At 52.4% G+C, this 25,345-nt stretch overlaps 1 protein-coding gene and 1 long non-coding RNA gene across 14 annotated transcripts in view, besides 6 other annotated features; one reads left to right on the top strand and one right to left on the bottom strand.

The window, feature by feature from the left end:
• The window catches only part of COL27A1 (collagen type XXVII alpha 1 chain), a 158,414-nt gene that overhangs the window by 115,474 nt on the left and 17,595 nt on the right, over positions 1 to 25,345 (top strand). For 8 of the 13 annotated variants that reach the window (XR_929860.4, XM_011519138.3, XM_047423992.1 and 5 more), the window contains 14 exons: positions 1,157 to 1,210; positions 6,090 to 6,197; positions 12,706 to 12,759; positions 12,886 to 12,993; positions 14,138 to 14,191; positions 15,153 to 15,206; positions 18,884 to 18,940; positions 19,131 to 19,184; positions 19,343 to 19,396; positions 19,671 to 19,724; positions 20,487 to 20,540; positions 20,653 to 20,760; positions 21,239 to 21,346; positions 22,532 to 22,639. Coding sequence is in view for 12 of the 13 variants with exons in the window: in XM_011519138.3 (XP_011517440.1) it covers positions 1,157 to 1,210; positions 6,090 to 6,197; positions 12,706 to 12,759; positions 12,886 to 12,993; positions 14,138 to 14,191; positions 15,153 to 15,206; positions 18,884 to 18,940; positions 19,131 to 19,184; positions 19,343 to 19,396; positions 19,671 to 19,724; positions 20,487 to 20,540; positions 20,653 to 20,760; positions 21,239 to 21,346; positions 22,532 to 22,639 (1,029 nt within the window). In the remaining variant the exon portion in view is untranslated. The other 5 variants (XM_047423993.1, XM_011519143.3, XM_011519144.3 and 2 more) reach the window with 5 other exon arrangements.
• Positions 1,664 to 1,833: an enhancer, noted in NCBI's record as "experimental_106356 CRE fragment used in MPRA reporter constructs". NCBI's record gives its function as "activates a minimal promoter by MPRAs in K562 erythroleukemia cells, with activity observed for the introgressed 9:117033600 variant allele {active_cell/tissue: K562}" and the evidence as "EXISTENCE:reporter gene assay evidence [ECO:0000049][PMID:34662402]".
• Positions 7,027 to 8,226: an enhancer, noted in NCBI's record as "BRD4-independent group 4 enhancer chr9:117038878-117040077 (GRCh37/hg19 assembly coordinates)". NCBI's record gives its function as "activates an origin of replication core promoter dependent on BRD2, P300/CBP, MED14 and CDK7 cofactors, and independent of BRD4, by STARR-seq in HCT116 cells {active_cell/tissue: HCT116}" and the evidence as "EXISTENCE:reporter gene assay evidence [ECO:0000049][PMID:35650434]".
• Positions 11,718 to 12,530: an enhancer, noted in NCBI's record as "H3K4me1 hESC enhancer chr9:117043569-117044381 (GRCh37/hg19 assembly coordinates)". NCBI's record gives its function as "activates a minimal SCP1, AML or CMV promoter by ChIP-STARR-seq in naive H9 embryonic stem cells {active_cell/tissue: H9 hESC(naive)}" and the evidence as "EXISTENCE:reporter gene assay evidence [ECO:0000049][PMID:30033119]".
• LOC124902252 (uncharacterized) lies at positions 14,394 to 21,242 on the bottom strand. The gene is made up of 3 exons (XR_007061741.1): positions 21,058 to 21,242; positions 15,022 to 15,146; positions 14,394 to 14,480 (listed from the first exon to the last, which is right to left on the bottom strand). It is a non-coding gene; the product is annotated as an uncharacterized LOC124902252 (long non-coding RNA).
• Positions 18,142 to 18,768: an enhancer, noted in NCBI's record as "H3K27ac-H3K4me1 hESC enhancer chr9:117049993-117050619 (GRCh37/hg19 assembly coordinates)". NCBI's record gives its function as "activates a minimal SCP1, AML or CMV promoter by ChIP-STARR-seq in naive H9 embryonic stem cells {active_cell/tissue: H9 hESC(naive)}" and the evidence as "EXISTENCE:reporter gene assay evidence [ECO:0000049][PMID:30033119]".
• Positions 18,142 to 19,835: a biological region, named in NCBI's record as "MED14-independent group 3 enhancer GRCh37_chr9:117050487-117051686".
• Positions 18,636 to 19,835: an enhancer, noted in NCBI's record as "MED14-independent group 3 enhancer chr9:117050487-117051686 (GRCh37/hg19 assembly coordinates)". NCBI's record gives its function as "activates an origin of replication core promoter dependent on BRD2, BRD4, P300/CBP and CDK7 cofactors, and independent of MED14, by STARR-seq in HCT116 cells {active_cell/tissue: HCT116}" and the evidence as "EXISTENCE:reporter gene assay evidence [ECO:0000049][PMID:35650434]".

Consider the following 25,345-nt stretch of genomic DNA (forward strand, 5'->3'; position numbering starts at 1 on the left):
GCCACTGCACTCCAGCCCGGGTGACAGAGGAAGACTCCATCTCAAAAAAAAAAAAAAAAAAAAAAGAAGAAGAAGGATGTTGAGGTTCAGTCGAGTCTCGGCAGTAAAGAGAATGATGAGCACGCATCCTATGCCCACTGTGTGTCGAGCACTTTTCTCGAGGCACAAGGAGCACAGCAGTGAGTAACGGAGGCCTGTCTCTGGAGCTTGCATTCCAGCGGGTTGATAAGTGATACCTGCCATGGGTACAAGAGGAGCATGGACCACCCAACTGGCACATCGTTGCCATCCTGCACCTGACGGCCCCTGAGGCCCTTTCCAGCTCAGACTCTGAACAGCGATGAATTCTAAAAGCAGAGAGAGACCCAAACTTAATTTGATGGCCATTTCAAGAACTGTTGTCCAGGGGCGTCTCTAGAGCTGGAAGGGCAAGCCTGGTTGAGGTTCAGCCAGGGACTCTGTTCTTGCTGTCATTCCCGAGCTTGCTGGGAAGAAAAGTCGAAAGACTGGCCTCCCTTTCCTCATCTGAGAAGTAGGATTCCACCAAGGAGTTCCATGCAGGCTTACTCCAGCTCCAGTAATAGTATCTCACATGGTTGCCAGGTATGGGGCGCTTACACCATGCCTTACAGCAACCCTTGAAGAAGGTGGTGTCAGCCCCATTTTTCAGATAAAAAAACAGATGCCAATGAGACCTAAGTAGTTTGCTTGCGGTCAAACAGCCAGTGAATGAGAAACCAAGAAGTAGCATTGACGTCTGGCTGATGTCAAAGCCTGTCTTTAACTACTAGGCCACTCTGCAGCCCAGCCAACCAGCCTAGAGATGATGTTCAGGACAAATCCATGACAAGCACCTTCTAAATTCGTGACCTCATGTAGCCCCCACCCCACGTCACCCTGCAGAGGGAGCTGTCGGTAGCTTGGGGGTCTGCTCCCCTTTTCTGGAGAGCTGAGGGTGGGCACCTCAACCTTCCTGTTCATTTGCTAACTCAGCCCCTGGCTACCATGCACCCACTGTGTGCCAGGGCCCCCAGGGTCCCACTGCCTGGAGATCCATGGGTCAGGGTCCTGCCCCAGGGAGGGGGAAGAGAGGAAAAGCACACCGGGGCCTCCTCCCCAGTAACATCTCCTCCTCTTTCTCCATCACCTTTTCCAGGGAGAGCCAGGCCTTGAGGGTGACAGTGGCCCCATGGGACCTGATGGGCTGAAGGTAAGTGCCCTTTTAGGGCAGGGCCTGGGGACCCCGGCAGGGCATTGCTTTCCCATCCAAGACCTAAGTCTCCTCCCAGAAACACTGTGTTCCCATAGAGATCTGAGATGACAGCTCCAGCTCCCATTGACAGCAGCTTGGGGAAGGGTCAGCAGTGTCCAGCAGCCACCTCCCACCCTGCCCTCTGCACTACCTGCTCAGGTGGGACCAGGGCCATCACCACCTTCCAGTCTTTCCTGCTACCCTTCTTAAAATATCAGCTTCTCTTGGCTAAGGGTGATTCCTGAGCACCGGCACTACGCCAGGCCCAGAGCCAGAGTCTTTGGTCTCTGTTATCTTCCAAATATTCTAGAAGGTCAGGAAAATAATAATTACCACCAATGACTTATAAGCCACAATTTAGGGAGGACTAGTCACACACATACCAGGTACAACGCTAAGCCCTTTACCAGCTGGATCCATAGGACAACGGAAGTTCTGTCTTTAGATGAGGAAACTGAGACTCAGAGTGGTGAAGCAACTTGCCCAAGGACACACCGCTAGCAACTGGCACATCCAGGACCCAAATCTGGGCCCGTTTGGCTCCAAAGCCTCTGCTCACTCTGCTGTACCATGCACCCATTCTAAAGGCGAAGAGGCTGAGGCTCAGAGGAAGGCATAGATACATTCAGGACCTATGGCTATGAGTGAGGATCCAAAATTCAAACCCACGGCTCACAGGTGCCAAAGCCTGCTGGCCCAACTTGACCCTGCTGCTCCCTGAGAGACTCCTGTCAGCCACAAATGTCAGGACTCTGAAGAGACACCTTAGCTCACCTGAATTGCAGGTGGGCAGGCGGGCACCTCCCTCTGACTCTCCAGACCCATCTCCAGGCCAGTCCCTGGCCTCCGTCTTGGGCCCCGCTCTGACCCCACAGGTGGGCTTTCCCCGAGGCTGGCCGGTCACCCTGTGCAAGTCAGCTCCCCAGCCCAGGTTCCTAAGGGCCATGCCCTCTCGCCCACCTACTCTCCAGGTGACCTCAGAGAAGCAGACCCCTTCTCTGAACCTCAGTTTCCCCATCCACAGGCTTCCGCCCACCCTCGTTACCCCCTCCCCACAGTCTCCCAGGGTGCCTTGGCGACCGGCCCCTGCTGACTCCTCACATTTTCTTGCAAGAGCGAGAGCACCCCCTGTCTGTCATCTGCCTGACTCCTCTCCCCCAACCCTGCTGCATCCAAGCGTACAGCCGAGTCCCAAGACCCGGAGCATTTGACAGCTGCTCCACACCCTTTGCCAGTGCCTGCTACACTGGGTGGTGATGCTGATGAAGGTCATGGCTAAAATGCTTTGGGCACTTGCCATGTGCCCAGTGCCACCCACCCAAAGGGCTTTATGTGAATTAACCCATTTAATAATTAATGTTCCCAGCAACTCTCCCAAGCTTGATACATTACCATCCTCACTAGACGGATGAGGAAACTGAGGCACGAAGCAGCAGCCTTCTCACTCCACTCTGGGCGGCCACCTTTCTTCTTGGAAAGTCCACTGAGGTGGGCGGGAGGGGGTCTTCCAGCCTGGGTGCCTCATGCAGTCTTCTGCCTCCACCTTGCATGGCTTTTTGGCCCTGACTTCATCCTCTTCCCCTCCCTTCAAAGCCAATTCTACCTGAGTCCTTGTGCTCAAATGCACAGCATCTTCCCTGGTCTTTACATGAATCCCAGGAGAGACCCATTTTCTTAAGGTGTTTGTCCAGGAATCACCCCTCATGGTGAAAACTGCGTCTCGAATATGCACAGCACTTCATAGTTTATAGAGTGCTTTTACACCCGTTATCTCTTCGCTGATGTCCAGCTGACAGTGATGATGGTGGTGGTGACCAATAATAGTTAGCTTTTATCCAGCATTCACATGCCAGACACACTGCTAAGCTATTTACATGGTTTATCTCTTTCAATCCTTGCAGTAATCCTTTGATCCTGATTTTACAAACGAGGAAACTTGCCCAGGGTCACACAACTATTCAGTAGCGGTAGCAAGATTTGAACTTAGGCAGCATAACCCGAGGGTTGAGGGAGGCATCGTCCCCTGAGCAGAGAATCTTGGAATTAGAAGGAGCCAGAACCCCAGGTTCACACAGCACTGACTCACTCGGTGGTATTAGGGAGTCTCCACCTGTCTGCACTTCAGTTGTCCCATCTGTAACTGAAGAGGGTTAAGGAAGGTGACTTGCAAGGCTCCTCTGAGCACTGGCAGATGTCTGAGGATTTGGGGCATCTCTAGGAACCCCCAGAGACTGTTCTGCATGAGATTCACAAGGACGCCCACCCCAGGGGTCCAGTTAGCCCCTGGAGTGTGGTCTTAGGCAGAGCCCAGGTGAGGGCCCTTTGTTGAAAACCCGACTAGCCACCTGGAACAGGCTGTCTGCCTCTGAGAGGAGAACAGGTGGCCAGGACGACAAGCCAGAAATGGAATCCCAGAGCCAGAGGAGTCTGCAGGAGAGTTATTCAGGCCAGCCCCCTGTCTTCATGCCAGGCTGTGCTTAGAAGCTGAGGCTCCCAGCAGGAAGGGATCCGGGCACAACTTTGTGCCCAGATCTGCTCTACATTGGCCCACGCCTCAGCTCGGAGTCTTCTGCCTTTATCTGTGCCATCTCTGGACCGCTCCATTGGAAAATCTTCCCAACTGAACTAGAAACTGCCCCAGCAACTCCCTCACACCCACCTCCTGCCCCAGAGCTCAGGCCTCAGCAGGCCCAGCTTGAAGCAATGAGCAATCATGAGTTGCTTTCTTGAGCCTCTCTTCTAGGCAGGGCCAAGCCCCAGGCTCCAGCTTCATGCCCTCTGCTTCCTGTGCTCTCTCTCCTCTGGATGCACACCAGTTTATCAGTGTCCCTCGTAAACCTTGGCACTGGGGGACAGAACTGGTAAAGACACACTATGCTTTTCCAAGCCTGCTCTTCTCGCCCATCCCTTCCTGATGGACGCCGCCCCTCAGCAGCCATGCCCGTGCTGCACTCCACACCTGCTCTGCTCACGGTGATGAGGGTGACAGCCCACGCCCCATCCTGGAATCCTGCATGCCCCATCCTGGAACCCCACCTGCCCCCAATCTCTCTCAGAGTACGCAAAGATTACCGTGATGAGATAAGGCAAGCTTAGAGTGACACTGATTGCTTCAAAACCATAAAAAGCCCATGCCAGCCTGGTGCAGTGGCTCACACCTGTAATCCCAGCACTTTGGAAGGCCAAAGTGAGTGGATCATCTGAGGTCAGGAGTTCGAGACCAGCCTAGCCAACATGGTGAAACCCTGTCTCTACTAAAAATACAAAAATTAGCCAGGCATGGTGGCGCGTGCCTGCAGTCCCAGCTAGTTGGGAGGCGGGGGCACTTGAACCTGGGAGGTGGAGGTTGCAGTGAGTTGAGATCATGCCACTGCACTCCAGCCTGGGCAACAGAATGAGATCCGTCTAAAAAAAAAAAAAAAAAGCCCATGCCAAGGGTTGCCTTTCCAAGGAAATAACCTCAGGTGCCCCAAAGGTCCGAAGCCCCAAGAAGACCTTGGTTACAGCCCTATCACTGTAAAGAGGATACGCTCAGGATCCTGCTTCAAAGTCCAGCTCCACCGCTAGCCAGTTGTGGGCCTCTGGGCCAGACCACTTGATTTAGCTCTGCCTCAGTTTCCTCTTCTGTAAAATGGGACTAAAAGCGGACCAGCCTTAGAAAGCTTTTGTGGGGATTAAGTCAGTTAATAGATGTTAAAGGACTCAGACTATGGTCCTGACATGGTTAGTGCTATATAAATGTTAGCTCCATCCACTCCCCAGAGAAAGTATTCTGCAGCCAATAAGAATGATCGCCATGCAGAGCCCAGAGCGATAGGAGGGCACGTTCACCATAGAGCAAAGCAGTAACTATAACAAACAAAGATGGAGACCAGCAGTCCAGTGGGATTGTGCCTTTAGAGCTTAGTTTACTGCTGTCCGATTCATTGCCTTGGGAGAGTTGCTTCACTGCCCTGAGCCTGGTACATACCATCCAAACTGTTACCTACCATTTATTATTATTATTATTATTCACTGTGTTTTTGTCATCGAGGATTGAAAATACAACTCAGAAAAATGGAAAGAGTGGTTCTGAGAAGGAGAATTGGGTGAATTTTCTTTCTTGATGAAAATTTCTTTCAGCTAGTTGCAGCAGCTCATACCTGTAATCCCAGCACTTTGGGAAGCTGAGGTGGGAGAATTGCTTGAGCCCAGCAGTTGGAGACCAGCCTGGTCAATGGTCTCCAACTGCTGGGCTCAAGCTCTCTTGTAGCAAGACCCCATTTCTACAAAAAAAGAAATTTTTTTTCAATTAGCTGGGCATGGTGGCATGTGCCTGTAGTCCCAGCTACTTGGGAGGCTGAGGCAGGAGGATTGCTTGAGCCCAGGAGGTCGAGGCTGCGGTGACCTATAATTGCGCCTCTGCACTCCAGCCTGGGAGAGAGTGAGACTCTGTCTAAAAAATAAAAAAAAAAAATCTGCTTCATAAGACTCTTGTTCTCCCAATGTGTCTAAGTTGGAGAGAAATTGCCCTTGTCTCCTGTGAACTCCATGGGGTGGGTGCAGTCAGGACCCCGGCTTATCTCTGAGTCACTCTGCCCTTCGCAGCCCAGGCCCAGGCAGGGACACATGGGAGCCTCTACGTCTGGGATGCATCCTTGTGCAAGCTTAGAGCTACACTGGGCTTGGCAGCCGAGTCACAGCACCCTGCCTTTTTGGCTGCAGAGGGAACTATCGAGAATCTAGGGACCAGTTGGCTGTGGATGCCTGAATGGAGCCCTGAGATTTGGGGCCTCTGATGCACTTGGCAACTAACTTATTCTCTCTCTCTCTCCCCTCTTCATGCCCTGCCACCCAGGGGGACAGGGGAGACCCAGGGCCTGATGGAGAACATGGCGAGAAAGGCCAGGAAGGGCTGATGGGTGAGGACGGGCCCCCCGGCCCCCCTGGCGTCACTGGTGTCCGGGTGAGTGTGCAGGCCCCTTGCAGCGCCTGGAGCTCTGGGGTACCCTGAACTCTCATGCCTGTGCAGGCGGCTGGGCGGGAGGGCTTTTGGTCGTGCCACTGAAGGATCTTCTGCTGTGGTCCTTTCTCCACCTGGCAGTTTGCCAGAGAACCAATCTGCTCAATGCTCCATGGCTCTGGAGAACAACCTCGGTTACTCATCCTCCTGGCTGCCCTGCCCTGTGCAAACCTGGTCCCTGCCGACCTCATCTCATCCATCCCCCATATCCAGACACACTAAACTTTTTTCAGTTTCTTGGACAAGCTGTGGCCCTTACCCCTGGGCCTTTGCATGTGCTCTGTCTAGGACACTCTCCCTTCTTCACTCCCCTGTCACCTGCTTAAGTTCTATTTGGCCTTCAGGTATCACCATAGACATCACCTGCTCCAAAAAGCCATTCCTGCCCCCAGGCTGGGCCATGAGCCCTCAGGGACATGCATAACCTTCAGTGTATGTCTTGGCTCCATGAAGACCAAGACCTTTTCTGGCCTTCATTTACGTCTTTAACAGTGCCTTGGCCAGGTGCGGTGGCTCACGCCTGTAATCCCAGCACTTTGGGCAGCCAAGGCGGGTGGATCACTTGAGGTCAGGAGTTGGAGACCAGCCTGGCCAACATGGTGAAACCCCGTCTCTACTAAAAATGTAAAATTAGTCAGGCATGGTGGCGCATGCCTATAGTCTCAGTTACTCAGGAGGCTGAGGCAGGAGAATCACTTGAACCTGGGAGGCGGGGGTTGCAATGAGCTGAGATTGCGCCACTGCACTCCAGCCTGGGCAACAGAACAAGACTTTGTCACAAAAAAACAAACAAACAACAACAACAACAAAACCAGTACCTGACACATAAGAGGTGACCAAAGTCTGTTTGTTGATTGAGAAGACGGAGGAACTCTGCTCTTCCACCCTAACAGAAATGTACTTAGTCAGTCCACAGACCCTCACGAGCATCTTCCCTGGGCCAGGTCCCCTGAGATTGAAGAGGTAAATCAGAAAGCATCCCTGACTTTGAGGGACATAGAAGCCAGTAGGGAAGGGAGCAGAATTCTCCTGTTTCAACATGTACAGACAAGTTGCCCAATGCTTTCTCGAAGGTTCCCTCTTTGATACCGATAGCAACCCCTGAGGATTGGGAAAATCGGAGAGGTAAAGGAAACTTCCCAGGCTCACACAGTGAGAAATGACAAAGCTGGAATTTGAACTTAGGCCTGCATGACTCTACGCATACTGCCCCTGTGCTCTGGCAGAGTTGGAATCCAGGGCTTGGCTGTGGGGCTGTGAGGATGAGCTGGAGGCAGGTGGAAGCTTGATTTTTGAGTGTCGCAAATACTGGACTGATGACTCGGAACTTGACTTGGTAGTGGGGGGCAGTGGTAGTCTTGTACAGTTGAGCAGGGTTTGTGTGACCCAGGAGTGCTGGGTCGGTTCAGTTGAACTCCTTGGGACCCGTGGATTAGGTGGCCTCGTAGACAAAATGCCCAAATGCACAGGCCTGCTGGCATCTACCTTGAGCCAACCAGGTGGTGAGAACTCATGCCTCTGCTGCCATCCCAGTCTCCCTGGGGTGTCATTTTCACTCTTCATCCCTCAAGCGGAGAGACTGACGTTGTTACCTAGGCAAAGCAGCCCAGTTTGATTCAGGCCTGCTCTTGACACTGTTTTTCCCCCCTGAAGTGTTTACATGACTAACCTAGGACAGATCCAAGTTAGCCTGCAACAAACTATGGTTGTGGGAAAATATTTGTTTCCTAAAAATAGCACTGAAGTGCCAATCCCCCTAAACAGCTGCAACAGAATGAACTCACCAAACTAGAGAAGAATACGAGGGCGCTGAGTCAGCCAGGAGGCTTCCCCCAGGCTTGACTCAGTGGCGGGCTTGACTCAGCGGCGGGGAAGTAGGCCAAGGGGAATTTAGCAGGAGGGTCCCGGGCCAGGATTCTGCATTAGGAACTTGGTCTGCGACCTTTCACCCGCCCCCTGCCCTCTCTGGTTTTGCCCTTGGAGGGTTTGGAAGGAATGTGTGCTAAGATTACTTTGAGCTCCAGCGTTCTAGGGACCCTTTTTTAGTGAGTGTTGAGTATCATGGCTGTGGAATGGGCAGGAACACATGGCAGAAATAGCCTTGGAACCAGAGTCCTGAGGTTGAACTTGAGTTTCTGGCTCTAGTAACCCATTCTCTGTGTGACTTTGGGCAAATCACTGCCCCTCTCTGAGCCTTGGTTTTCTTATCTATAAAGAATAAATAAAACTTAGGGTAGGAAAGCACTTTATAAAATGCACCAGAAATATAGAAGATTGTCTTTATAAATTTAGAGGAGAAAGTGACTAGAGGCTGGTGGTGGCTGGTGGTGATGGTGAGTGGATGGTGTGGGTGGGGGCAGCAGCAATGGTAGTGGTGGTAATGACGATAATAATGATGGTGATGGTGGTAGTACTGATGATGGTGTTGGTGGTGGTGATGATGATGAAGATGATGGGGGTGTTGATGGTGGTAGTGGTGGTAGTGGTGACTGTGATGAGGTGGTGATGGTGGTGCTGGTGCTGGTGGCGATGGTGATAGTGGAGTGGAGGTGAGGGTGATGATGGTGCTGGTGGCGATGGTGGTGGTGATAGTGATAGTGGTAATGATAATGATGATGATGGGGCACTGATGATGGTGGTGGTGATGGTGGTGGTGATAATGGTGGTGGTGGTACTAATGATAGTGGTAGTGGTGGTGATGATGGGTGGTAGTGATGGTAGTAGTGATGGCAGGGGAGTGATGATGGTGGTCATGGCAGTGGTGGGGGTGGGAGTGGTGATGATGATGATATGGTGGTATGGCGTAGGTAGTGGTGATGATGATGGTGATGATGATGATAGTAGTGGTGTGGTGGTGGTAGCTGTGTTAATGTCAATATTTTGCCATCACTCCCATTTCTCATATGCCGGGATTGGAAGGAGAGTCACTTGGGCCAGACGAAGTGTGTGCCAAGTGATAAGGCAGTGAGGGGCCTTACTTGAGTCTCTTTGGCATCAGGATAAATACCTCCCACTCTGTGGCCTGGAAACAGTTGAGTATTTAAAAACAGAATTTTATGAGCCATCGGGGCCTTTCCAGAAATGCATCTATATGGATGGGGCCCAGCAGAAATATTCATTCCGGACCCACAGCCTCACCCACTGTATGTATGCTCTCGGCTGGAGAGGGCACGTCCCAGCAAGTGGCACCCTGTCCCAGGGGAGACGCAGCCTCCCGTCTCCCTGCCCCTGTACCGGATGCTTCAGCACTGACTCATCTCGCCTTCTGCAAGGGATCAGTCAGCCATTGCCGCCACCTCAGTGCACTGGAAAATGCCACCAATCACTGTGACATGGCTTCCCCATTGCCTGACCAAGACCAGCCTGGAAGGAGAGGTGCCCCAGAAGTGGAGGAGCTGCTTGTCACTTCTGACCTGGCTGGGAGGCCCACAGAGGGCTTCCTCTCACTGAGCCTCAGTTCCTTTAGCTCCAAAACGGGATAAATAATCCCTTCCTCCAAACACTGGCGAGAATTGAACAAACATTTATGTGGAATGAGAACACAGCACATGGCCCGTGGTGAGGGTTGTAGGGATTGTTGGTGTTTTATTACCGGAGGAGCTGGAGACTTTGAGATTGCCTAGTGCAGTCCGATAGAAATGAAATACAAGCCATATACAAGCCACTCCTTTTAAATTTTCTAGTAGCCACCTTTAAAAACAGCAAAAAGAAACAGGTAACTTCAATTTTAAGGGCCAGTGCAGTGACTCATGCTGGTAGTCCCAGCACTTTAGGCAGCCAAGGTGGGAGGATTGTTTGAGCCTAAAAGTGCAAGACCAGCCTGGGCAACATAGTGAGAACTTGTTTCTATAACAATTAAATTAAATTAAATTAAAAAGTTAGCTGGGCGTGGTGGTGCATGCCTGTAGTCTTGGCTACTCGGGAGGCTGAGGTGGGAGGATCACTTGAGTCCCAGAGGTTGAGGCTTCAGTGAGCTGAGATTGAGCCACTGTGTTCCAGCCTGGGCAACAGAGAGAGACCTTGTCTCAAATTTAAAAAGGAATTAATTTTAATAATATAGTTTATTTAGCCCAATATATCCAAATATTATCATTTCAAAATATAATCAATATAAAAATCATTAATAAGATATTTAGCACTCTTTTTGTAGTAAGTCTTTGAAATCCAGTGTATAGTATATTTTCATAGCATACTCAATTCAGATGTGAATTTTCATTGGAAATACCTGATCCGTGTTTAGATTTTCATTGTATATAAAATTTCATTGGAAATACTTGATCTGTATTTAGATTTCATAAAATTTACAGTTGACAATGTAGGTTCATATACCCAAGTTACTCCAAACAAGTTTTGTAGCAACCTAATTGGGTGTGTCAACTTTTAATTTTTTTTTTTTTTTCTTTTGAGACACAGTCTCACTCTGTCGCCCAGGCTGGAGTGCGGTGGTGCTCACTGCAATCTCCACCTCCCAGGTTCAAGAAATTCTCATGCCTCGGCACTCCCAGGTAGCTGGATTACAGGCGTGCACTACCATACCTGGCTAATTTTTGTATTTTTAGTAGAGACAGCATTTTGCCATGTTGGCCAGGCTGGTCTTGAGCTCCTGGCCTCAAGTGATCCACCCACCTCAGCCTCCCAAAGTGCTGGGATTACAGGCATGAGCCACCGTGTCCAGCCTTAAATTTAATTTTAAATTAATTAAAGTTAAATAATATTAAGAATTCAGTTCCTCAGTCATAGTAGCCAGATTTCAAGTGTTCGGTAGCTGTATGTGGCTGGAGGCCACGGGGCTAGTCCCATACTAGAGGTGGGGAAACTAAGGTTCAGAGAAAGAGCAGGATTTGTCCAGGGGTACATGTAGACTCAGGCACTGGGTTGCAGGCAGTCTGTGCTGAGGTCCTTCCCGGGCCACTGTTCCTGCCTTTCTGAGGACCGCAGGGTGGTCTGACTGGTGCATCTCTTTGGGATAGCGTCATCTTTTCTGGCATCATAGTTGATGCCGCATTAGTCTTTAGAGCAGACATTTCTCCCTTGTGCTGAATCAAAGCCAGCCGCCCCATAATTTTCATGCGCTGGCCACCCTAGAGAACATGGCTGGCCCTGCCTCCAGAACAGCTGCAGAAATCTGCAGACAGGAACCAAGTCCTCTGGGTTGGTCCAGATGTTTCCTTGTTCCTCTAGGACCTCCTCTTCCTGTCCCTCTTCTATCACAATTAGTCAGTGCCTCTTCTTAAAGTACAATACCTATTCCCAAATGGGACATCACCTCCTTCATTCTACATCTGGTGCCTCTGTTAATGCAACCAGAGGGATTACATCAAAGCAGCTCCTTAGTGCTTACCAAGAGCATAGACATTCTTTCTAGATCCTTTGAGGCTTGCAGTCAAGAAGTCCTTTCCAGGCCAGAAACGCTGCCTGCCCCACTCCCTCCATCCTGACCTAGTATGGCCCAGGATTGATTCTCTCTCTTCTCTTTCTCTCTGTGTCTGTCTCTTACTGTCACATTCACACTTGCACACACTCACTCACCCTTGCTGTGCAGTTTCTCTGACAACTGTGGACACAAAGCTGGATTTGCCCTCCCAGGGCAGGGCAGGGCAGATCAGGCCGGAGGATCTCTTTGGGAAGCCCTGTGGGGCAGGGGCAGAGTGGCCTGTCAGAGGGAATGGCCTGGGGACTCCAAGGAAAGTGGGAGAAGGCAGCTGACCTTTCCAGCACAATTCCCTACTGTGAGGAGGCTCCTCCAGCCCAGTCCCTGAGAGAGGAGGGGCCCGTTCAAGGGACATGCCCACAGGAATTGCTCGCAAGTGACGCACAACATCTCAGAGATAGGGAAGAACCTATAAATCCTCTCCTGCCACCTCATGTCATCAGTGGGGACCATGAGCCAGGGGTGGTAAGAGCCCTGGGCATGGAGCCAGAACAGCTGGGATTGATTCAGGGCCTGCAAGGCGCAGCTGGGACCCTGGGCAAAAGTCACTGTATCTTTGGGAACTTGGCTGCCTCAACTGGAAGCGGGTCTCATTGGGGCCTAATGTTCAAGGTCGTTGGGAGGGTGGAACAGCACTTGGCGCTGGAGAGAGCTCAGTGCAGAGAGTTGCTCCCTGTAGGACACCCCTGGATGCCTAACAGTAACCATGACAACAGCAAAGCCAGCAATTGCAGAAGCCGCACCCGCCATCCACCCCTGCACCCAGGCCTCACTGTCAGCACGTTCTTACATCGCCAGGTCGAATCCCTAAGTTCTGTGACACTGTCCCCACTTCACAGCAGAGGATGCTGAGCCTGGGAAATTAGGTCAGGCTCAAGGTCATGTGGGTACTGGGTGGCAGAATCAGTTTCGAACCTGGCCATCTGCCTCCAGAGCCGACAGTCTGACCGCCTTGCGGATCCGCCTCAGTTTCCTCTCTTCTCTCATCTTTCTCTTGCTCTGTCCCTCCTCTCTCTTCAGGGTCCTGAAGGAAAATCAGGGAAGCAAGGCGAGAAGGGCCGCACTGGAGCCAAGGTAGGTGTCCCCTTCTGACTTGATAGGCCTGCGTCCCTCCCCCGCATCCCTTCCCCACATCCCTCCCCTCCCTGGACCCTCCGTCCTGTTGGGCCTGGTGACAGCTTGTCTTTCCTCCTGTTGCAGGGTGCCAAGGGCTATCAAGGACAGCTGGGTGAGATGGGCGTCCCTGGAGACCCTGGACCCCCTGGCACTCCAGGCCCTAAAGGGTCCCGGGGCAGCCTGGGACCAACGGTGAGGACTCTCTGGCTGGGGTGGGGGAGTCAGATGTGGAATAGAGGGAACCAAGGGCAGGAAAGGAGACACCAGGCTTCTCTGTGCTGTTATCACCCACCCCAGCTATTAGCTGAACACCTGGTGCTCATTGCCCCAGCCACCTCTCTGAATCATGAATCGCTTTGGTAACCTGCAGAAAGCTGCAGCCCCGCCTCCGGAACAGTATACACCACACAGAATACTTCCTGCAATTTGAAGGGGTGTGTGGGTCCCCTGAAGCCCTCTATGGACCCAAATTAATAAGCCTTGTTATTAGCATCGGGGGAGAAAGGACCAGATTCTTAGAACTGTTTTTATCAAACAAGGAGATTTCCCACTGGAAATAGATTCAGGAGGAATGGAGTGATGCTGCTGCAGGTCCCTGGATGACTCTGAGGGTGTCCCAGCATTGCTGGGCTGCTCTGAAGGAAGGGGCCCAGAGGGCTTTGATACCTCCAGGAGATGAAGACCCCAGGGGGAAGCCAGGGAAGGAGGCTGAAGAGGGTGACACAGCAGCTCCGATCTGGTTGTGTGTAAGGTTAAGCAACCAGGCTGGTTTGTGGTATTTGCCAGTTTCTGCGGTGTAAATGCTCCCTCCATGTCTGGTTTCAAGCCACTGACATGACGTCACTGAATGCAGAGTGGGGAGGAGTTACACGGCAGCCCTCCCTTAGGCAGTATTTCCACCAACACGCACAGATGCAATAGACCAAAATAACCTCATGAGTGTAGGTAGGAGGAAAATGTAGTAAAATGGCTAGGAGGAGATGAGTTTTGAGTATCCTCTATCTTTGTTTTTAATAACATTAATTTAACTGTAAGTCCATAAAATTGAATTGTTAATAACGGCTCTGTTTCACTGGCTTGTAAAAGTCCTGAAAATTTAGCAATCAGCTGTCTCGAACCCCTGGAGCCAGGAGAAGGAGGGCTGGGGCAGGGGTGGGGAACTCCAGGGAGGAGGGATAATGTTACTGGCTTTCCGCCTTGTTCACACACTTTGGTTATGGGCGGCATGGATGTGCCAGGCTGCTGGGCGGAGCGGGGCTGGAGCCTGCAGGGAGACTGCTGTGTCCCCGCTGTGAGAGCCACACTCCATACCAACGAGGGTCTCCTCCTCTTGTAGGGTGCTCCGGGACGCATGGGGGCCCAAGGAGAACCGGGACTGGCTGGTTATGATGTAAGCAGATATCACCTCACCCCACCCCCCGACTCTGTCCTGCAGGCCTGGAAACACAGGCCCATGCCAGCCTCTGCCCCACCACCTCCCAGCTGAAGGCTGACCCCTGGAATACTGAAGATGTGGGGTCTCACCTGCCCCAGGGAGCGCTGGGCCCAGAGCCGTGGTTGGGGTGGAGGATCATGGATGGGACAGGTGTGGTTGGGGCTGCCAGAGCGAAATGTGCCACCCCAAGCCTTCTTGGGTATTTCCTGCCCAGGGTGGGCGCTCTGCATGCCTTGTCTGCTGTCTGGGGAAGGGACCATTTCTGCATCCAGGTTGGCACCTTCTTAGACATGGCTGAGCCAAACCCATGTTACACATCTGGAGAAACCAGGGCTCAGAGAGATATGGTGCCTACTCAGAAGGGGAAACCAGGGCTCAGGAGGATAAAGAGCATGCACGAGGCCTGACCACTTCAGTTTGGAGGTGGGATCCTAGCCCTGGTCCTTGTGGCTCTAGATCCAGTGTCTGGAAGAAATGCAGCAGGGAAGGGAGGAGGAGGAGAGGAAAAGAGGCGAGACAAGACCTGGAGGGGTGTTGCGAGGAGCCCACAGTGGGTGTCCATACCTGCAGGCCTAGCCAAAGCCTGGGAAGGTCTGTTGAGGCAAGCATTTTGCCCCTGTCCCTGGTTCTGGCTGGGAGAACAAAGCTGGTTCTCCCGAGTCACCCTTCCAGGTCTGCTCCAGGGTGGGGCCCCCAACCATCCCAGCTGGAACACCCCTTTGGGGTGTGTCTGGGACCAGCACGGCACATCTGGAAGGCCAGGGCCCAGACAGGCACAGACTTACTCAGAGCCACACAGCCAGCTGGGGCAGAGCTGGGACCCAGTTTTGCAGCCCAGTATCCCCATCTTGGAGTCCATGTCCTTTGTCCTTCCTGAGTCCTCATTCTCACTTCCCTCCTTCTTGTTTGCCTGCAGGGACACAAAGGCATTGTGGGACCCCTTGGACCTCCTGGACCAAAAGGCGAAAAGGTGGGTGTTTGCTCTGGGGAAAGCAGCTGCACCCTCGTGTCTGAGGCTGAGGTCAGCTTCAGGGCCAGCAGGAGAAAGCCCCTGGGGTACCCATGGCTGGAGAAGCCTGTGGGGGCTCACCCCCTGCAGCAGCCGAGGCTGGTGTCACTGCCACTGTGCCCAGCCCGCAGGAGCTGTCAGATCCACATTCAGCACTATGTGCTGGGTATCATCTTTGTACCCAGCGCTGGAACGAAAACATGCAATCCCTGCCCTCACGGGGCTTATAGTCAAGAAGCAGAAATGGACATCAATCTTGTAATGACTAAAACTGCGACTCCATCATCTGTGTGGACATGGGAATTGAAGTCTTGCCCATGAATAAGATCACCCAGTGAAGAGTGGGGAGAGGATGCTGAGCAGGAGAGGCTTGGGACAGAGAGCAAGGAACCCCAGTGGTTAGTGGTCAAGGAAGGAGCCACCAAGGCAGAGGGGAAGGCATGTTCATTCCCCACGCCTTGGCTCAAGATTCAGTAGAGGAGAGGAATTGCTGGAAGGATCCTCGCTGATCCCTGGACCCTGCCCCCCCATGCCAGTGGGGATGTGGAGGGCCAGGAGTGCCAGAAGGTCCAAGGTGTTGGTGTGGTGTCACGTCCAAGGCAATCCCAAACTGGCCCCAGAACCCACGTGTCTAAGTCCTACCTTCGTCGCCTGAGTCCCTCCTGTCTTTCCTCCTCCTCCCCTCCCCTGCTGGCTCAGCTGGAACGCTTCGCTTGCCCCCTGCCTCCCCAGCACGCCTTTCTTTTGCTGAGTCAGCTCCCCACTAACTAAATCCTGCTGTTGGTGACTCACGCTGGCCCGGCGTGCTGCCCAGCCGACCCCTTCCTCCTGCTGGAGGAGGACAGCTCAGCCATGGTAGACGGCCACCCGCCCCAGCCGATTCCACAGGAAGCCACAGAAGGTGCCACTCAGTACCCCGGGTCCCTCCTGGGCCCTCGCAGCCTGCCAGGGCTGGCACAGAAGGGGTTAACACAGACTCTGAAACAAGGAGGCCCTGGTGTGCCCCAAGGCCTCTGCGCCGGAGCATCTGCAGCTCTAGAAGCAGTCTCTGTGGCTGCTGAGAATGGGACCCTAACACCAAATCTGCCCTAAGGCTGCAGGGGCCTTGTGGGGGTCCCCAGGATTCCCTGAGCCTTGAGTGCCTCATCAAGTGGTGGGGTCCTTGGGAATGAGAGGTCAAGGTGGGGGCAGAACATGTTCATCAGCCAGATGCCTTTTCTCACTTAGAAGGCATTATTAGATTCGTTCATTCCTCCAGCTCTCCAACAGGTACTTATGGAGGATTTAGTGTGTTCCAGGCCCTGAGCTAGAGGATGGAAATGATGCCCTTAGAGGTCTCAAAAATAGGGCGAGTCCCATGAATGAACAGCCACCCCGCAAGCTGGACGGTGCTAGGGAGGAGAGAGCAGCTTCCTGGGGTGACCCATTGAGCACACGCCCACGTGCAGAGTTCTTTCCCTGCCATTCCTCCTGTAATCTTCACCACAGCCCCAGTGCAGAGGTACCATTGTTCTACAAGACAGGCGGGGAAACTGAGTCCCCATAAGGCTCAGAGACTAGCCCAGGATCTGTAGTAAGAGGGTGGCAGGGCCAGGATTTAGACCCCATCTGTCCGATGCCAGACCCTGCTTCCCTAACCAAAAGCAGACCCAAGATAAGGAAGCCATATGCAATTTAACTTGAACCGCCCATCCCTGCTCACCGTGGGGGTGAGCTCACTACAAAGCTGGTGGCCAGAGAGAGGGGATGAGACTCTGGGACTTGGACAGGGCAGGGAAGTATCCTACCAGATTTCTGGTGCTAAAAAATGATATACCTAATGCTAAATGACGAGTTAATGGGTGCAGCACAGCAACATGGCACATGTATACATATGTAACAAACCTGCACGTTGTGCACATGTACCCTAAAACTTAAAGTATAATAATAATAGAATTAAAAAAAAATGCATCCCCAGACTACAGTCACATTGCGGGGGATCAGTATAGCTGGCTTTGGGCCGAGATTGCCCCCTGATTCCTGAGTGGCCTTGGCTAAGACCTTCCTTCCTCTCAGTTTCCCATCTTTAAGTGTGGACAGTAGTCCCAGCGGCATAGTTACTGTGCAGATCGGATGAAACAAACCTCACAGAGTGCCTGGCACATGGAACACGCTAGGTAGACACAGGCAGGCCCCTTCCCCAAAGCCGTCAAGTCCAGCTGCCTCTATCCACAGTGGGACTTGAGCACTGGATCCAAGAACCATAGAGAGTGGGCAGGGTCAAGAAGGAATCCCCGCTCCTTGGGCCACCCCTCTAGACCTCAGGCCAAGTCCCTGCCAGCCTTCAGCCTCCACCCACCAGAACCACAGAGGCCCAGGCTGGTGGCTGATCACCACCAGCCTTTAGAACTGCCTCCCACCAGGGATGTGTCCCAGCCCCAGGGACGCTTTGCCTCTGTCCAGCCTCTTCCGGCCCCCTTTCAATCCCTATGAACAAAGGGGCTCAGGGGTGCCTGGCTTGAGCCCTGTGCCCAGGGGAGTGACACCAGTTTCTGGGGCTGGAGTCTTCTGAGCCCTGAGATTCTGCCATTTGCCGTTCCGCTTACACCTTCCTTGTAGTTGAAAGGTGGCGTCTACACCTGTCCTGTGGGTGGACCAGGGCCTGGGGTGGCCATGGCATAAGGACCTCACCTCTAAACTCTGTTCCGCCCCCCCCACCCCAGTCTCTGGCCATGTCTATATGACACAGTCTCACTGCTGCTATTGTTACCGGCTACGGCAATTTTAACGCCATCTGCTGAGCCCCTGCCACGTGTGCAGCAGCCTGCTGAGTGCTTCCTGTGCCTTTCCTCACCGAGTCCCCTGAACAGCACCGGGAGGCGCTCCAGTCCCGCTCTGCACATAGGAACCTGTCTTATGGACACAGCCCCCATGCTGACTGGCTGCCAAGTGCCACCTGGGGCTACCATGGAGGGTAGGAGGTTCATCCTAAAGCTGGTTCCTCCCAGCAAGGATCGGAGACAGGGACTCTCGGGTTGAGGGTGAAAACTCTGAGCAGGTCCCATCATCTCTCCGAGCCTCATCTGTGAATTGGGATAATAATCGCATCTGCTTCACAGCACTGCACTGCGGATGTCATGAGTCTGCCTGTGACTGGCCCAGAGCAGTGCCCATGCGTGCCAGCTGCTGGAGTTGGTGTTACTCCCTGCCGGGCGTCGCGCATCATTCCACGGAGTCCTCACCACTCCTTGATGGGCATCACATGCTGTCCCCTTCACCCCACCCCACTCCGCTCTGTTCTCCTATTCCCCAGCAGAGGAGAGAGCTCCGAGACAGGAAGGGAAGTGTTGCAGGCCACACGGCTGGTCCTTTGCAAGCCGGGATGTGAATCCAGCTGTCTGAGCTCCCTGACTTCCTGCAGGATCCTACAGCTCAAGGGCGTCTGGAGGGCACAAAGCACTGTTCTGTGTTCCACAGTCCTGGTTCCACACCAGCCTGAGTCTGGCTCAGACACACCTACCCTTCCCTCTCTAGTTTGTGTCCCCATCTGTAACCCTAAGCAGGCTAGAATTCATCTCTGACGAAGCGCTTTCCGTCTGGAATTCCCCACATTCCCCAGGAGCAGGCGGTTTGCCCTAAAGCTGGTTCTGTGTCCACAGGGGGAGCAGGGCGAGGACGGCAAGGCTGAGGGGCCCCCTGGGCCACCTGGAGATCGGGTAAGCCCCCTCCCTCCCCTGGACCATGTGGCGTCCTAGGTGGAATCTGAGCCTCCCGCTGCATGGAGAGGGGTGGGCCGATCAGGGGCCAGGTCCCTGAGAGCTCCGCAGAGGTCGCGGCCAACAGGGCCCAGGGCTGGCATCCTTGGCACCTGGTGGCCCAAATTTTGCTGTTGTCTTTGTCATTCAGGGCCCTGTGGGTGATCGAGGAGACCGCGGGGAACCGGGAGACCCTGGGTACCCTGTAAGTATCAGAGCTCCTACCTGCTGGCAGGATCGGGCATGTCAGGGAGAGGGGGGATGACACATGTCTAGAAAGAACAAGAACTTCCCAGGCTTCTGTGCTGCCTCCCAGCCCTCTGCAGGATGGGCCCCCCTCACCTGTCTCTCTTTGGCTTCCAGGGACAGGAGGGTGTGCAAGGCCTCCGTGGAAAGCCAGGCCAGCAGGGCCAACCCGTGAGTGGTGCTTCGTGTCCCATCCCTGCCTCCCACCCTGAGTGGGGCGGAGCAGTGGGAATTAAAGAACTAGGCCCTTTAAAGCTTAAAGGGACCCTCCCTGCAGGAGGGTCTGGGGCAGCCATTTCTGTTTCTCCTGCCCTGACCCTGGGGATGCCCCCAGAACCTGCACCCCCAAACCCCTCCCCACCCCTCCCCCTCCAGGCGGAGACTGGCCACCCTCCCCGGGAGAGAATCCTGGGGCTGCCTTGCGTCATCTCACCTTGGTTTGCAGGGGCATCCGGGACCCCGGGGGTGGCCGGGACCCAAAGGATCGAAAGGCGCAGAGGTAAGAGGGCCGGGGGTTCAGCAGGGAGACTGAGTCCCAGGAAGGGGGAAGCCTGACCCACAGTCACACAGCAAACCAAACGCAGGCTGCAGAGGCTGCGAGGCAGGGTAGGGAGGGGCGGCCCACCAGGAGCCCGGCAGGCTGCTTCTGGCCATGACCCCATCTCCCTTCAAATAGCCTGAGTGAGGAGGGACAATCAGCCCCATTTCACTGGGGCTCCAGGAGGGGAGCCAACTGCCTGAGGCCAACCAGAGTGACTTGAACCCAGGGCTCACCACACTGTAGAGAGAAAACTGGGAGAAGTCAATTGAGGGGGTCTGGAGGAAGAGGAGGCAGAGACAGGGTGCTTGAGCAGGAGCCACTTCCTGCCTCTGCCCCAGGGCCCCTGCCTTCCCCCAGCCCCCAGACTGGGCCAGTGCTCTCTTAATGCTCTTTCCCTCCCCCGGGTGCGCCCCCCTCACCTGCCTGCCTCGGTGATACCTAGTCTCTAAAAGATCCAGTGGAACTGTGGCCTCTGGCTCCTCCCAGAAAATTGTCAATGCCAGTGAGGGGACACCAAGGCCCAGAGCAGGCTCAGTGACAGCCCCAGGAGGTTCCAAGGCCAGCTCTGGCCCCAGGCTTCCAGGCCAGAGTGCTTGGGTACATCTGTGGCATCAGATGTTCACCCAGGGGCCCACAATCCTCTCAGTCCCTCCTTCCAGAGCCCCTAGGGTCCCACACCTCTACCAGGCAGCCTCCATCATGTGGCCCTTGATTTTTCAGGGACCAAAGGGAAAGCAAGGCAAGGCAGGGGCCCCAGGCCGGAGGGGGGTCCAGGTGAGTGACTACAGCTGCTGTTTCCAGCCAACCTCCCTGCCCGCCCCCCACACCCGCCCTCCTCCCACTCCCTGCACCAAATGCCCTCACCAGCTTTTTATGTACCCCCCAGGGCCTGCAGGGGCTGCCAGGGCCCCGGGGCGTGGTGGGGAGACAGGGCCTCGAGGGCATCGCTGGACCAGATGGGCTTCCTGGCAGGGACGGGCAAGCAGGACAGCAGGTGAGCGGGAATTGGCATTAACAGATGGTGGCTCCATTTGGGACCAGGTGTAGGGGAACTTCCCCAGGCCATGGGCCAGAGGAGCCCGTTTGGAAACTTGGATGGGCAGAACCAACACATCCAGAAGTTCTCTGGGGTGGGCAACCATCTCCTCCCCTGGCACCTGGGAGTGTGGACCTTCTGACTGTCTCTCCTGGATGCCAGCACCCAGAAAGACCTTCCTTTCCTCCCCTGCCTGGTGGATAGGGTTCCTCTCCCGCCCCTTCCTCACTCAGAATCCCGCCCTTCCCCACTCACAATCCTCAGCTCCTCCTGTCCTCCTGGTCCAGCCACATCACACACAGGCCGTCTGACCTCCATCCTGGAGTGTGACCCCTTCCTCCAGCTTCACCCAGGGTTTGCCCAGGCGTTGAGCCATCTGCTTCCTTGGCTGTATCGTGAAACACAAGAGACCCTCCTCTGCCTGCTTTCTTAACAGGGGGAGCAGGGAGACGATGGGGACCCTGGCCCCATGGGCCCTGCTGGGAAGAGAGGAAATCCAGGTGTGGCCGGCTTACCTGGAGCACAGGGACCCCCAGGATTCAAGGTCAGATACCTCTTAATACACTTACCCACCCTCTGCCCTTTCTGCCTTGATGCAGACTCTAGTGGTTCCGACCCTTTGGGCACCCATGTCCCAGGGCCTGTGTGAAAATGGAGTCCACATTGTTGACCTTTCTCCGTCAGCAGTGCTTGGGGGTCCTGCCCCAAGCTTGAACCAGAATGATAGTTCATCTGGGGAGCTGTAAATATCGCCCCTACCAGGCCCTTGAAACCTTCAACTGGTTTTTGAGTTGTCCACGGGCGCCCTCTCGTGGACATTTGTGGAACAACACGTTGCTTGCAGCCGGGATCCCCAAGGCATCCTTAGAAAGCTTCCCAGTGCCGCGTGGGAGGAGGGGGCCCCCATGAATCCGTCAGAGCCAAGGGCTGGACACTGAAGGGGAGATGTAGATGAATGACTCAGATGTGGTTCTTGCCCTCTCTGAGCTCGAGGTTTAATTGGGGGAAAGATTGGAACCCTCTGAGACACAGGAGGCGGAGGGAGCGATGGCCTTGACCCAGGGAAGATGTGAATGAGAATAGAAGGGGAAAAGGTGGCCACACAGTGGCTCACACCTGTAATCCCAGCATTTTGGAGGCTGAGGCTGGCGAATCACTTGAGGTCAGGAGTTCGAGACCAGCCCGGCCAACATGGGGAAACCCCGTCTCTACTAAAAATACAAAAATTAGCTGGGCATGGTGGCAGGCACCTGTAGTCCCAGCCACTCGGGAGGCCGAGGCAGGAGAATCGCTTGAATTGGGGAGGCAGAGGTTGCAGTGAGTTGAGATCGCACCACTGCACTCCAGCCTGGGCGGCAGAGCGAGACTCTGTCTAAAAAAATAAAAATAAATAAATAAATGGGGAGGAGGCATTCTACGAGTGTGAGCTGAGGTTTGAAGGAGGGAACTGCATGCTGTTGGGGAAAAGCAATAAGGAGGAGAGGAATTGTGGGAGAGGAGAGGGGAAGGCAGGGCCCGGAATGCGAGAGGAGAGACAGAGACCTTCCTCTTTGGGAGGTGAAAGTCTTGTCACCCCTACCCCACCAGGCCTCCATTTGTTGCCCCAGCATTCTGCAATCTCGGGTACCCTGTGGAATCACTGTTCTGGCTCTCCCAGGCCCCCTCCGCCTCCTCCTGCCTTAGAACCCCTTCCCACTTTGACTGGTAATTTTTTGTGTGTTTCTTTAAGGGTGAGAGTGGGTTACCCGGACAGCTGGGTCCCCCTGGCAAGCGAGGAACAGAGGGCAGAACGGGGCTCCCTGGAAACCAGGGGGAGCCTGGGTCCAAAGGCCAGCCGGTGAGTGAGCGCCAAAGAATACACATGCCCACGCACTCACACATGCACACACTCACATACACCTACATGTACAAACACATGCACACTCATACACACACACAAACACACTGACCCAGAAGCCACCTCCTTGCTCTGTGACAAGGTATAAAATCTGGGTACCAGATACCATTCTGCCACCCCTCAACCAGGTGGTGGGGGAGGCTGAGGAAAGAGACCTGAGTGGTTCCTTCAGAATGAGGAGAGGGTGATCACAACCAGAAGGTGGGCGCTCCTGACTCCCAGTCCAGTGCTCATTCTGTGCCTCACTGCCTTCATCCCCCTGTCCCAGAGGCTGCATTCAACTCACCCTTGCCTGGAAAAAGAAGGAAGAATGAACAGAGAATAAACAGGGCAAATAGAAAACACACAACAAACAGTTTCAATACCCCAATTAAAGCTGAGATTGTCAGAGTGGATGAAAAAGCAAGACCCAACTACATCTGCTGCTACAAGAAATCCACTTCAAATATAAAGATATAAGTAGGTTAAAGATAGATATAGAAAAAGACATACTGTGCTAACATTCATCCCAAACAGCTGGAGTAGCTATTTTAATATCAGATGAAATGAATTTCAGAGCAAAGACTACTAACAGTCATAAAGAAGGTATTTTCATAATGACAAAGAAGCCAACTTTTCAAAATAGCATAAGAATCATAAATGTTTATGCACCTAAAAATAGATCTTCAAAATAATCAGGCAAAGACTGATAAAGCTACAAGGAGAAATAGACAAATTCACAATTATACTCAAGGATTTCAATATATTTCTCTCCTAATGGGTAGAACAGAAGCAAACAGAAGATCAGTAAGGATGTCTTGAACTGCATTATCAACCAACATGACCTAATTGACATTTATAGAACACCACATCCAATATCAGCAAGATACACATTCGTTATAAGTTCATTCAGAACATTTACCAAGACAGACACTATTTTGAGCCTTAAAATCAATCAATAAATTAAATTATAAATCAATAACAGAGAGATCTGAAAGATCTCCAAACATCTGGAAACTAAGTAACAAATGTCTAAATGACCCATGGGTCAAAGAAGAGACCAAAAGAGATGTTAGTATTTTGAATTGAATGAAAGTAAAAAACAGCATATAAAAATTGGTGAAATGCTGTTGATATATAGGGAGATCTTTATAGTAATAACTTCTGTGTTAGAAAAGAAGACAGGTCTCAAATAAATGGTCTCGGATTCCGTCTTAAGAAACTGGGGGTTGGGGCTGGAGAAGGCAAATTTAAAACAAAGTGAGCAGAGGGAAGGAAATAATGAAAATCAAAAATAAACCAAAAAAAAAAAAAGGAAAATCAAAAGTTAGCTTTTTGAGATCTGTAAAACTGATAAACCTCTTGCCAGACTAATCAGGAAACAACAAAAACAACAAAAAGGATACAGAAGTTACTAGTATCAGGGATAGGGGAGCAATGTCACTACAGATATGACAGAAATTAAAAGGCTAATAAGGGAATATTATAAATGATTTTATGACAATAAATTTAAAGACTTAGATGAAATGGACAAATTCCTTGAAAGACAAAACTACCAAAGGTCATCAAGAAGAGACTGATAACCTAAATAGCCTTATATCTATTAAAGAAATTGAATCTGTAGTTAGAGCTTCCCACAAAGGAAACTCTGGGCCCAGATGGCTTCACTGGTAAATGCTACTAAACATTTACAAAAGAAATAATAACGGCTGGGCGCGGTGGCTTACGCCTGTAATCCCAACACTTTGGGAGGCCGAGGTGGGTGGATCACGAGGTCAAGAGTTTGAGACCAGCCTGGCCAAAATGGTGAAACCCCATCTCTACTAACAATACAAAAAAAAAAAAAAAATTAGCCAGGCGTGGTGGCGCACACCTGTAATCCCAGCTACTCAGGAGGCTGAGGCAGGAGAATCGCTTGAACCTGGGAGGCGGAGGTTGCAGTGAGCCAAGATCGTGCCATTGCACTCCAGCCTGGGCGACAGGGAGAGACTCTGTCTCAAAAAAAAAAAAAAAAAAAAAAGAAGGAATACCAATTCTACATAACTTTTCCAGAACATTGAAGAGGAGAAGAATAATTCCCAACTCTTTCCTTGAGGCTGATTCTACCCTGATGTCAAAGCCACACCAAGATATTACAAGAAAAGGAAACAATACACCAATATGCTTCATAAATATAGCTACCACAGTTCTCAATAAAATTTTAGTTAGAGGAACCTAAGAATATATAATAAGGATAATACATCAAGACCAAGTGGAGTTTATCTTAGGAACACAAGGATGGTATAACATTTGAAAATAAATCAGTATAATTCACTATATTAACAGACTCAAAAAAGAAAACCCATTTGATCATCTCAGTAGTTGCAGGAAAAGCATTTGAGAAAAATCTAACTCCACTTCTGATAAACTCTCAACAAACTAGGTATAGAAGTTCCTCAACTTGATAAAGGACATCCATGAAAAACCTAGTCAACATCATACTTAGTAGTGATTGACTGAATGCTTTTTTCCAAGGAGCAGAGCAGAAACAAGTCAAGGATATCTGTTCTCACCACTTCTATTCAACATTGTACTGGCAATTCTAGCCAGTGCAATAAGGCAAGAAAAACAAATAGGAGGTATTCATATCAAAAAGGAAGAATTAAAACTTTTCATTTGTAGAGGAAA

The sequence above is a fragment of the Homo sapiens genome, chromosome 9 (genome assembly GCF_000001405.40).
Source record: "Homo sapiens chromosome 9, GRCh38.p14 Primary Assembly".
Classification (NCBI taxonomy): domain Eukaryota; kingdom Metazoa; phylum Chordata; class Mammalia; order Primates; family Hominidae; genus Homo; species Homo sapiens.